The 13,382-nt window shown below is 39.7% G+C and overlaps 1 long non-coding RNA gene across 1 annotated transcript in view, besides 2 other annotated features; it reads right to left on the minus strand.

The window, feature by feature from the left end:
- Nucleotides 1–13,382, minus strand: part of JRKL-AS1 (JRKL antisense RNA 1) — a 63,596-nt gene that overhangs the window by 17,351 nt on the left and 32,863 nt on the right. The window lies entirely within an intron of this gene.
- Nucleotides 11,882–12,383: an enhancer, noted in NCBI's record as "H3K4me1 hESC enhancer chr11:96205677-96206178 (GRCh37/hg19 assembly coordinates)". NCBI's record gives its function as "activates a minimal SCP1, AML or CMV promoter by ChIP-STARR-seq in primed H9 embryonic stem cells {active_cell/tissue: H9 hESC(primed)}" and the evidence as "EXISTENCE:reporter gene assay evidence [ECO:0000049][PMID:30033119]".
- Nucleotides 12,384–12,883: an enhancer, noted in NCBI's record as "H3K4me1 hESC enhancer chr11:96206179-96206678 (GRCh37/hg19 assembly coordinates)". NCBI's record gives its function as "activates a minimal SCP1, AML or CMV promoter by ChIP-STARR-seq in primed H9 embryonic stem cells {active_cell/tissue: H9 hESC(primed)}" and the evidence as "EXISTENCE:reporter gene assay evidence [ECO:0000049][PMID:30033119]".

The following is a 13,382-nucleotide window of genomic DNA, read 5'->3' on the forward strand; positions in this document are numbered from 1 at the left end:
AAACTACTTTTTGTGTTTAGCCTACCAGGTTTATTGTTACAATAAAAAGACCTAGCCTATCCCGATTAACACAGATCCTCTGTATGATGGTTACTCTGCAGCCACAGGCCAGCCACATTTAACAAGAAATACAATGTAGCCACTGTCCTCATGGACCACTTAATCTAATGGGGGTTACACTTACATAAATGATCTTAGAGGAAGGGCACCTCTGCTTGAGGGGGTAATTGGGGTACAGATGGACTCCTTCAAACCTTCAGATGAGGCTAAATTATATTTTAACATCATTTTAGTTCCAAATTGTATCTCCTAGCTGATGTGGCCTTGAGTAAAGCACCCATCAAATAAGATTGTGTATCCTCTTGATTTGTCATCTCTAAAGAGACAGGGTCCATATCTTCCAACATGCTTTGTAAGTGCACTCAGCTCCATGCTCTACTTGGTGCTGATGATGCCAGCTAGCTTCTGATTTCAGCAGAGAGATACTATTGAATTCATCTGACCTCTGCACTGAAAATAGATCTTTGCTGAAAAGAAGGCAATGTAAAATGGGACCCTCATTTTTATCCTTATCTATTGGCATAATTGCTGTCTATTTATTTTCAATTGTTTTGCATGCCAGTGTTTTTCAAGGACTGACTTCTAAATATGCTTCAAAGAGAGTAAAACTGCATAATAAAAAAGTCAGAGAAATTTTAAAAAGATGGGTTAGCTTGTAAAGGGGCAGGGGTTTGAGTGACTATGTAGAATTCAAATGCTTCTCATTACTAGGATAAGCGGAAATCTTTCTTTCCTAAAATTAGAGTGGTTGGGGAAGAAGGGAGCATTTATTTGTTAAAAATTAACCTTTCATGATTGAAGAATTGATAATAGGCATAGTCCGAGTAAGTGGGAATTGGTTGACTGGGTAGAAGTGATTGCAGGGGAAGTTCTTGAAATGGAGACAAAGAGCTAGAAGCTTCATCCTTTCTGAAAAACAATATGGAATCAAGTGGATTCAGATCGTGGTTAAGAGTTTGAAGATTTTAGACACTGACAAAAGTATATTTAATTCCTGGCTCTATTTTCTATCTTAGTGATATGTGGCAAATTATTTGACCTATTCATGACTAGTTACTTCTTAAAAAGTTTTAAAAAATATTCAGTAATATTTTGGAAGTGGGGTAATTGTTCTTGTTACATTAGATAGTGTGATGATTCAAGGAGATACTGAACCATGCTTGGAATAAAGTGCTTAATAAAGAGTAGCCCTTTACTCTTTACAATGTTGATAATTATCAACATTATTACGTAAATACAGACTTCCTAGTGCTTAGGCTAAGATAAAAGAGTATGAAGAGGCATTTTACATAATTACACCATGAGGGTGTGCCCAAGAAAGAAGCATCATATGTGTGTTTGTACGTAGGGATTCTGGGAGACAGGAACTCATTTTTGCTAGACTGGATCTTGAAAGACTGTGTTGCTAAAGCTATAGCAGCCAGAATCTTGTTGCCATGAGGAAAAAGCCTGGAATTTCTAGTGATAAGCATGAGCAGAAAAGTAAAGCAGTACAAAGACAGAAAAATAAAAAGATATGGAGAATCTCAATCCAGATAATGTATGTGATCTCTGAGTCTAGCCATGCCTAATGTTGGTGCAACCCCGGATTTTCTAATTCTTGAGCTAATAAATTCTGAGTTTGAGTCTTGAGTTTTCAGGTACTTGCAACAGAAAGGATCCTTTAAAAATAATTAGTTTTTGATAAAAAGAAGGGTATTTTCTCCCCTCTTTCTTTCTTGAGTTTAGACATGATGCCTGGAGCTATATTAGTTGGATATCCACCTGGAGGCAAAAATCTTGAGGCAAAGGCTAACAGAAATGCTGACATATTTATCCTGACAGTTTAGAGCCATGGAAGTAATGCCAACCTCACTTTTTGTATTAGTTTACTGGAGATGTCATATAAAGTACTACAGATTAGGTGGTTTAAATGACAGAAATGTATTTTCTCGCAATGCTGGAAGCTAGAAGTCTGAGATCAAGTAATCAGCTCGGTCAGTTTCTTCTGACACCTCTTTTCTTGGCATGCAGGTGGCTGTCTTCGTGTGTTTTCCCATGCTCCTCCCTCTGAGTGTGTGTGTATCCAAATCTTCTTTTCTTTTAAGGATACCTGTCATATGGGATAAAGTCCCACCCTAATTACCTTATTTCAACTTTATGACCTTTATAAAGATAGGATTACCTTCTGAGGTACTGAGGATTAGGACTTCAACATATGAATTTTGAGGGAACATGATTCAGCCCATAACACTTTTATTACAGAAAGGCAACACGTACAGAAGTCATCATATTTCAGATTATTTTGTTAATATTTTAGAAGCTAAACAAATAGTTTAAACCCTGTTGGAAGTAGTTTATTTGAATTTCTATTTATGCAGATATATTTCTTTTGACTTACTAGGAGCTGGGCTATGATCTCATGCTTTGGTAATACATACAATTCTCGGAAGAAAAGGGTTTGTAGACAAAAGATGCTTTGCTCTTGAATTCAGGGACTATAGATTGTCTTTCTCCTTCATTTTACAAAAAAGGACCGTTTTTCCCCCCAGAACTCCAACGAATGAATTTAGGGCTTTAATAGCTTAGAGAGATCATGGGAGGAGGGAAAAAAAACCCAACAAAGTGGACTGGGGTTCATAAGGGCGTGATCCCAGGCATACAGAAGGAAGTTTGACCAAGAGGATTAATAATAGCTCCTGCCATTACCAGAGTACTGTCTAACTCCTGGAAGCCAAAAAGTAGCCCTCTTACCCTTTCTCTCCAAGACTAGATCACTTTACTCTATCCTAAAACTTGAGCTGATAATTGCAAATGTTAACGTTTTCAACTACACAGGGGAGGCATTGCCTTTTTGGGAGCTTAGCGAGAACTTCAGCAGACTTTCTATATCTCCCCAGGGGGTGGAAAACCTGCACAAGTTGGATTCCAGGCCTGTTAAGTTAAAAAAAAAAAAAAAAAAGAAAGAAAGAAAAAAGAAAAAAAAAAGAAAAAGAAAAAGAAATTTATCTAAGTGCCGAGAAGAAAAGTCAGGTTTTAAAATATTGTCCATGACTTGTTTTCTAATAGCTTCTAATTTCTCATGGAGGCAATCGTATTTGAAATGAGATTTGAGTAAAAAGGAAAAGCATGGTATTTGCAAACTATTCATCCATATACAATAAAGCTTTAATGATTTTTTCCTTCCACGATTTTAGCATAAAGTCTGATCCTATGGTCTTTACATAGGTTGAGCTTTTACATTTTTAAAATGGTATTTCAGCTTGATTAGGAACTCCAAGGGGAGAGGGCTGATCCAGACTAGAATCCAGACAGCTTGTTCACCCACTGTATTTTGCCCAGTAGAGGGCACTTGGAACTCACACATAAATTGCAGTGGCATCAGTGGTAGCGGCGGCAGCAGCAGCACTTAAGATATCCATTTTCATTGCCATGGTGATTCTTTTTTTTTTTTTTGAGACCGAGTTTCTCTCTTGTTGCCCCAGGCTAGAGTGCAATGGCGCGATCTCGGCTCACTGCAACCTCCATCTACCAGGTTCAAACAATTCTCCTGCCTCAACCTCCCAAGTAGCTGGGATTACAGGCACCCGCCACCACGCCCAGCTAATTTTTTGTATTTTTAGTAGAGACGGGGTTTCACCATGTTGGCCAGGCTGGTCGTGCACTCCTGACCTCAGGTGATCTGCCTGCCTCGGTCCCCCAAAGTGCTGGGATTACAGGCGTGAGCCACAGCGCCCGGCCGCCATGGAGATTCTTAATTAACAGATAACATCAGGTTTTCATTGACACTGGTAAAATGAGGTGACTGTGACCTTGAATAATAAAATCTGTAATCATTTTGGAAATATCAGGAGTTGGAAACTACTTAGATATTTCTTCTTGGTGATTGTGCTGACCTGTAATCAATACAAACAAAATCTAAATTGCAAATTATTCTTCAAGCTACATCCCCGGGGTAAAAATTTTATTTCTTTTTAAAAATAAAATTGAATATATACTTGTGACAGCTTTAGGATAAGAAAGTAATAGACATATAACATCTATTATTCTTACGTGAGGAGAATTGAATTGCTTAATACTTTTAAGTATCAAATAAACAAGTTTCAGGCACAGGAAAAAGGAGTCTTAGAATGTTGAGATTCAACATTTTCCCCTTCGTCCGCAGAGTACAGCTTAAGCAGCAAAATGAGGAAAACGACATTCTCTCTCTGTTCTGTTTACAAGTCAAAAGCTTTGATTTACCACTAGAGGGCACTCATTACCCTGTTATCTTTCTGAGGCCTTTAGCTCAGCAGGGCTCCCATTCAAACGGAATCTCTGCATTTACTAACATTTGTGAATTATTTAGGAATAATTAGAAACACCCCATAATTCTGGACAGATTTTTTTCTTTCTAATGCTTCTTCTGATTGTGACGAAAAGTCCTTGACTGCATCAAATGTAAACTAGAGGGACTTAGCAAATTCAGATTGCTTTTGCAACCATACATAAAATGTACTTTACTATCATACATTTTTAATTTTTATAAAGCAAAGTAAAAATTTAAGAACACTTATGCTTCTCTTTTTATGTTTTTCTTTTATAGAAGCAATTCTGGATATTAATCACTTTGGAACGACATCTTTGTGATGTTTCACAGCATAAAATCAACTGCTACATTGGTTTCTTATAGTTTCTTTGCAGAATGATGAAAAAAATAATTAATCTCGTGAAAATCCTTCTAATTGCACCAGTTTTCTGGTGTTGCGTAGTATATCTCCAACTCTAAAATTTTATTACTCAGGTCTTTCAGTACAGCATGTGGTCAGGTTGTATTATTATTTGCAAATATTTACTCCACCTTTTTCCCAATGGGAGGAAAATTACCCATGCCATCATGCTGAGCTTGGTCAATGGAATGTGAGAAGAATAACGATGCCAATTTCAAGGAAAGACCTTAAATATGATTTAAGAATAAAGGCATTAGCCTCTTGCCTTTCCCTTTTGCCATGAGAATGCATGTGTTATGAGAATGCATGAGTGGCTGCCTGTCAGCCTGGGTCCCTGAATGTGAAGCTCTATGGAACAGAGCCAAGGTTTTCAGAGCCAAGTGACACTCGCTGGCATGTTACTTGGGCAAGAAACCTGTTTACTGTTGTAAGCCACTAGAGTTTTAGGGTTGCTTTTTGTGCAGCAAACTGACTCATATAGAAATTGATATGACGAGTGGGGAACTACTTTATGAAAATAAAAATGGTGTCACAATTGCTTCAGGATAAAGCAGTAGGTGGTAAGAAAACTGTAAAGGAAATTGAAAAAAAGTGGTGATCGATGTAATATAGTTTTTCTGCAATGGTGATAAGTTTGGAGGCAGAGAGTATACCTCATGAAATTGTAGCTTTGGCTGGCGGGGTATTTAAAAGGAATATTTCTAGTGTGAGTTGGTTATTAGCTACATTTGATAAGATATTTTTAAAAGGAAATAAATACAGAAAATAACTGGCCTGTTTGTAGGAAGGAGTGAAATAGAAAACACAGAGTCCCAAATTTTGGGATTTCAGAGTTGAAAAGTGAAACTGTTTTCAATCATCAATTGATAAAAAATAAAATTAAGAAATGTTTTGAGCCAAAAACACTGATTAAGACATAGGTACAGCTAAAATTAGGGGTGTGGCCACAAATCCTAAGGGCACAGTTCTGCCATAACTAGATAAGCACACAATATCTTTAATTAAGTCTAAAGAAAAACATACATCTACAAAATAATTGTGGTAGCAGCTACTGGCACACAGAAATGTAATCACATAGATAAATAGCTATATCTTTGAAAGAGTTGTACTGCCAAAAGCACTGTCATCTTCAATTCAAAGAGACTGTAACTGTTTGAGATGATTTGTGCCCCAATTTTCTTGGGCAAGAGGCAGGCTGAGAAAGCTGCTCCTTCCCCTAGAATGGCATTGTCTCCAATGCTCTCCTCAGGTGCATCCAACAAGAATAACCAAAAAGAGAAGATGTTCCAGAGGGTGGATTCAAGACACAGAGAATGATGGACTGAGGGTATCTCCACTTCTACCTCCTCAAGAGCTGAACAGAGGCTACTCAAGAAATATTCCCTGCTCTAGGTTAGGAGGCCTCATGATGCTTGTTCAGCAGAATTTCAAAATTACTGTGTATTACTGATGGCTAAGTGTCTGTCTGCCTTCCTCTTCATGAATGGAGGTTTCATTGTAGTTGTTCTGTCCCTGTTTCACCATTTTATGTGAGTGTGTATGAGTTATTTTATTCCTGACTTAGAGAGTACCACAAGATCTTCAACTTTGCACCTGATGCCGTAAGCGGATGCAATTTTCAAGGTATATTTAATGGGAGCGAGTAACTTTGAGTGAGAAAGGAAGGAAAGTGAATATCCAGAGAAGGTGTTCTTTGACCGATTGTATTATTCTTTGCAAATGTATATTTCCCTCTCCTGCTATGGGAAAAATGTATTTTCTTGCTTCACGGATGTTGGGCTACTCCATGTGACTTTTTTTTTTTTTTTTTTTTTTGGCCAACAGTATGTGAGCCAATGAGACAAACATTATATTTGCACAGAAACTTCAAAAGTGATTGCTTCTTGTTAGCCTCTGCCACAAAAGTAAGCATCTTTCCCTGAGGTCCCGGTATGAAAGGAAATGTAGTACAGAGTTGAGCAAAGCTCTAGTACCCCATCCATTCCACAGATGCAGACATGTGAGTAGTAAACAAATATTTGCTGCTACAAGCCACTGAGATTTTAGAATGTTTCCTTCATGGCAAGCTCGCTGATGAAGGACTCAAGATCTTGTTTGAAATTTCCTTTGCAGTTTTGTTCAAGGGATGTAGTGCCCATAAAAATTTTATTAGTTATTTAAAAAATAATCATTTAAGCTATAGTATTCCAAAAAACCTTAGCTTATATGCCAAATAAAATTAAAAGTATTTTTCTTTATTAAAATGAAGCAAACACTTGCTGATGTTGAAACCTCAACACACAGGAAGTTAGAACATTAGAAATTAGAAAATAGAAAGACAATTCCGTAAGGTTATTGGTTTTGTTTAGTAGGACTTTGTGGTGTATGTATAGCACATTAATGAGTCGAATCAAACTATTTGTAATGTAGGCCTTAAGAGTGAACTGGACACTTTTGAAAACTATAGATGCATTACTGACATACAGTGTACTACTGAGAACTGTCAGATTATATGTATGAACCTTTGCCAGTGACTTTCCAGCTTGGTAATGTGTCATACTAGAGGAACAGGATCATTTAGAAGCATGCCTCATGTGATGTGATACTAGTAGTGAAGTAACAACATTTGCTTACAATTTTTCCTTTACAAATTAGAATGGATTCAAGACTATCCCTATTGTAACCCCAGGCTTACTTTCATTCCAGCATGCTTTCTTATGTGGGAGGGTAATGGAGTATCCTAGTATATGTAGCATCCTAGTAACCCTACAAAATCTCAGGTTGATTTTGTTTGTGTTTCAGGCCATTATATAGGCTGCACTTGGAAAATGTGTTCCATATGTGAACCTCATCTGTCACGTGAATGTGTAGCAGGGGTGAGATTGAAACCTCTTGAATTCCTGTGAGAACTGACGTGACTTCTAGTGGAGAGAAATCAAAGATCAGGAGTGGGGTGCAAATAAGCAGGTATACCTCTGCTCTTCTAATTCAGAAATAAGGATAAGCAGAGAGAATGAGGAGTGACACCTAAGGGTAAGCTATGAAGGGCAGAATGGTTCTTCTGCTCAAAATTTTTTCCATGCCAATTTTTCCATTTGAGTCAATATGTCTTCTTCTAAAATGCAAAAACCCACTGGAAGAGTAGGCATTCAACTTTTCTTTTATTTTTTCTTTCTTTTTGTTTTTTTGAGACAGGGTCTTACTCTGTCACCCAGGCTGGAGTGTAGTGGCGTGATCTCGGCTACAGCAACCTCCACCTCCTGGGTCAAGTGATTCTCCTGCCTCAGCCTCCCAAGTAGCTGGGATTACAGATGCCCACTACCATGCCCCATGCCCAGCTTTTTTTTTTTTTTTTTTTTTTTTTTACTTTTAGTAGAGATGGGGTTTCACAATGTTGGCCAGGGTGGTCTTGAACTCCTGACCTCAAGTGATCTGCCTGCCTTGGCCTCCCAAAGTATTGGGATTACATGCGTGAGCCACCACGCCTGGCCTCAACTTTTCTAATGCTTTAGTTAGTAATTCCTTGGAGGGCTCAGAGTCCACAGAGGGGGATCTTTCTGGAGTTAGAAGTGTTAAGGTATAAGGCAGATCTGGGTGAGGGTACTATAAAGAGCTGTACACAGCTACAACCCCAGGTTTATGCCACATCAGGCACGTGCTGGGCACTGAGCAGATGGGGGTGAATGAAAGGACAGACCATGTCAATGGTTGCTAGGACGAATGCTTAGGGATTTGGGAATCTTCCCGCAGACTAGTTTTCCTGCCTCACATCATGCCATTTTCTTTACCAAATCCCACATAGAACATGGTCAATGCCCCGCACATATCTCCTATTACGAGACTTTTGCCTGGGTTGCTTTTTCCATTCTCTCAGACATAAATACTTATAGATCCTTTCATGCCCATTTCAAATGTCTCTACCTCTATGATCTCTGATTGATTCCCTGGGCAGAATTAAGCTCCCTCCTTCCCACTTTAGTTTTATTCTTCTAGATACTTCTCACTTTATACTCTCATTATCTATTTGTGTACTATGGATGTATTGAGGTCAAGACCCAAGGCTTTTTTATCTGTGTCCCTGCCACAGCATCATGCACATACAAAATGGGTGCTCAATAAAAGCTAATTCGTGGAGTAGAAAGAAGAGGAGGGAAGATATTAGAAAAGTTATATAGAGGCAAAAATGGCAGCAGATAGCTGTCAAAACAAACTCCATTCATTGTGAAGTCAGGGTGACAGCTGGCCCAGATGCCCTTGGGAATTATTTCGCTTGTAGACTTTGGTATATGACAATAGTGCTAAGTAGATTTTAGTGCCTGTAAATAACTCTCCCTCATATTAGATGTTTGATTGTGGCTGGCAGTGGGTGTGGGGTCAGCAGTCTTTTCCATGCTGCCTACCTTATCCTATGACTTACAGACACAGCAGTTATTGGAGAGCTTGTGTGGCTTCTTGGAGTGCTGCCGTTTTACCTACAAAAGATGTTGATTGCCTTGGATTGAAAAAACTTGCTTTTTCTGACTTTTGCATGCCAGATTGGCTGCAGAAGTGTTATGAACGTTTCTTAGCTTTTTTTCCTGTTCAAAGCTGTGCTTTCATGTGCATGGTACATTTCCTTGGCTTTGACCTCCTTGAGGTTACCCCCACTTTGGCTTGTAAAGCAGCATTGTTTGGGGATTCTGCTGTCATGCATCTTCTGGGTGCAAAATGCCTGGCGATGCTGGTGGCAGAAGGCTTTGCTTTTTTGCCAGATACACTAGTTTTGTAGTTTTGTTGTTGTGCTATAAATGTGCTATTATTTATTTCTTTATTGGGGAGTGTAGGTGTTTAATATAGAGGGAGAAAAAGAGAGACAGGAATAGAGGGGGAGAGAGAGGGACATATGAGAGATAGGTATTCTCTGTTATGCAATGTTAAAATACATTTAGGCTAGGTTAAATGCTGAAACTGTCTACTAAATGCATCTCTGCATTATTTGGAGATTTTCTGCCTTTAGCAGGTACTTCCACATTCCTATTCTACCTGTTTGTTCTTTGGTTTTCCACAATGTCATACTTCACTGGAAAGTGCTAGTACTGTTAATAATTGTTGCCATTTATTGAATACTTCCTTGGGCCAAATACTGTAGTGAGGGCACCAGACATGTCATATGTCTAATTATCATAAAAGTATCATGATATATGACCAGTACTATTTTTAACAATCTCTAGATGAGAAAGCTGAAAATCATATGGTTTATGTGATTTGCTCAAAGCTACCCATCTCAGAAAAAGTAGCATGTAGATTTGGGATCAAACTTTGGGCTATGTGGTTCTGACTCATATGTTTCCTCTGTGTCATGCCATTTTTTTTTCTGTTTCCTGCCATTACCCAGAATTCCCCCCTCCTTCATGCTGCCCTTCTTCCTCAGGCCCTTGTTTTCTGCTGAAAACTAATGAGTGAATCACAATCTCTAATGTTAGAGACTATGGTACTTAGGATATGCACTATTTTAGATAACATATTCGTTCTTGAAAGGGGAAATGGGAAAAAGGGACATAATACCTTCAAGCATTCATAGTATCTTCTTTCCCCCTAAACGTTCTGAAATAAAGACTTCTTTTGAGAACTCAAATCCCTAAGGGATGACGCTCTGATAAGAGGGTCTTTTCAGGGTAAATAAACATCCACCGCCCCTCATGTTTTCTAATGATGCCCAGAAGCCAGATGGGGTTCAGAAGCAGGAAAGGTACTCAATTACTATTTGTTTCCTTTAAGACTTGACATGGCTGCAAAATCTCACTCAAGTCTATTTAGATACATCATAGAATCAGGGAATCTTGGATTTGAATGAATTTCATTAAAATAAAATCTAATCCAATGATTTCTTATCTGGGGCATGCATCAGAATCATTTTTTGAGACTTAAAATTACAGATTCCCAGGCCCAGCACCCCAAGATCCTTACTTTATAGGTCTTAGATGGTAACTGGGTTCAATAAGTGATTCTAAATTATAGCTAGGTGGAGAATCATAAATTTAATTTATTTTTCACGATATATGAATACTTTCTTGCTTCATTTGATTTTCTATTTCTTCACTGCATCCCTGGGAAATATGCAGGGAGCAGAACACGAAGATTATTTTCTGCTCAGTTCCACAAAGAAAATCAGTGGCTAGGGTATTACATGAATTATGAGTGACTACAATCTTCAGGCTTATTATTGGAATAGAGTGCTGTGTTAATTTTTCAATATATTTTCTTTCAAAGAGCTATTTCTCCTATTCCCGTGCCTCTTCCTTGATACTATTTTGACACGGATGATCCTGGATAATTAGGTCAATAATTCCATAGATGTTATTAACCTTTTAATTTGGAATAATTTTCAGAAAAATTGGAAGCAGAGGGTGAGAGACTGGGTTCTAGCTCTGTCACTAAAAGCTATAAGCTTTGAAAAAGCCCGTTACTGTGAGACTCAGTTTCCTCACATGCAGTTTGTTCAGATGAACTTTGAGGACCATCTCAATTCTAGGAATCTAAAGTCTCCCACTAACTTGTAAGCTCCTTATTGTCCACTTGAACATTGTTTCTGTTATTTTTTTTCCTGGATTCCTGTTATACTCAGTAGCTTTCCTAGTAAAAGAAGACTTATATTCTGTCATATTTTCTGTCTCACTGACTCAGCCTTTCAAAAATTCCAAGACAAAGATAGAGGCTTCAAGACGGCTGAGCAGAAGCATTTGGTACTCACCTCCTCAAAGAATAAGAACCAAAATAGTGAGTAGATAATCACACTTTGAATAAATCATCTAAGAGAGAACACTGGAATTCAGCTGAGAAGTGACAGGATAAAGGAGAAGGAAGTGAAGCAGCCAGCTCATCTGGGATTGGTTGGGAGGCTAGAGAGGCTCCTGAGTGCAGGGAAAGGGTAAATGAGTGACCCCTAGTGGCCCACATTCCAACCATTGAATGCATCTCAGCCATGGGGAAGCCCCAGCACCCTTGTGGTCCCCGAGATTAACATAGGAAGCTGCTTGGAGACTGTGTGAAGGCATTGCTTCAGAGAAGGAGCTCACACTGGGTCCTACACACTTCTCAAGTCCTAAACAGCTGCAGCAAGCCACCATATTGAGAGCCCAGCCCAGAATGGACTGCATCTTGCTTGGGTACCCAACAGCCCTTGCATTTCCATATCTCTGGAGCCCCATTGACATCCCCCACCTGCAGCCACCACTTTGGCTGACTACTGCTGCCAGGGCTAGAGCATGAGCCATTGGCAAATACCTCCACTGCCTCCAGCAGTAAAGCCATCATGCACATTCATGCACTCCCCAAAACAAACTCCTGCCAGCAGCAGTAGTTGCATGCTGTTGGCTGTCACTGTGGGGGCTGAAGTGCGAGTGAAGTGCACTCTTCCCAGCCACCTGCATATGGCTGTTACCATTAAAAGCAACTCCAACCTCCTCAGTAGAAGAGCTGCAGTGCAGCCCCTGCTGCCCTCCCCTGGACATACTGCCTTGGGCCTGGGGATCACCTTGCCTTTGCCTGCCACAGCCAGTTACTGCAGACACCACCGGTGGGTCTGAAGACAGGTCCTCCTCACCTGGCTTCACCTCCTCAGTGTCTCAGCATGCTGCCCAGGTGCCTGGGGATTGCCCAGCCCAGTCCATCACTGTTGCCACCTGAATACTCCTCCTGGGGTCCCAAGATCTAGCCCATCCAGCCTGCCACTACCACCAGAGCTGGCACCCACCTGCATGTGCCACCTGGGAGCCTGATGACTGGCTGGCCCAGCCCATTGCAGCCACTGCCAACATCAGAATGGACTGCTTGAAATCCAGAGGTTTGTCCTGCCATTGCTGCTGCCATTGCCCATGTCACACCTGCTGTCCAGGGGCCTGAGAACCTATTCACCTGCTTGGACCACTGCTGCTACAACTGGCACTTGAGCAAGCCACGTGGAAGTCCAAGAATCAGCCTGCTTGGACCTGCTAACACCAGTGGCAGTATACACCATGCTGAGGCCCAAGGACAGGCATGTTTGGCCTGTTGCTGACAGAACTGGAGTCTGAGGAAATCCCCATCTGACATCCCCATCCTCAGAAAAACTTCACCAAAGCTTTCACTAGCAACCATACCCTAAGCCACTGTGGAAATCACAGACACCACTGATGCTGTGTACAATCAAATAAATCATATAAACACTACACTCCTGCTTGCACCTACAATCAAAGTTAAAGTGCCCTGTGCATCCAACACCATAGATACATCTTTAGGAAAAAGTTTTCCCTATGCATGCAAATTTAAAAAAACTGGAAGAAGCAGCTATTACACCAGATATACAGATATCAATGTAAAGACACAAGAACCATGAAAAAATAGAAAACATGACACTTCCAAAGGAACACAATAATTCCCCAGAAACAGAATCCAATCAAGAGGAAATTTATGAGATCCTAAAAAAGGAATTTAAAATAATGATATTAAAGAGGCTGAGTGAGAAGCAGGAGAAAACCAAAGCAATACAAGGAAATCAGAAAAACAATTCAGGATATGAATGAGGAATATATCAAAGAGACAAACATAATAAAAGAGAACAAACAGGAATTCTGGAACTGAAGAATGTACTAAGTGAAATAAAAAATACATTAAAAAAACTTCAACAATAGATCAAGC

The sequence above is a fragment of the Homo sapiens genome, chromosome 11, assembly GCF_000001405.40.
Source record: "Homo sapiens chromosome 11, GRCh38.p14 Primary Assembly".
In the NCBI taxonomy this organism is placed as follows: Eukaryota; Metazoa; Chordata; class Mammalia; order Primates; family Hominidae; genus Homo; species Homo sapiens.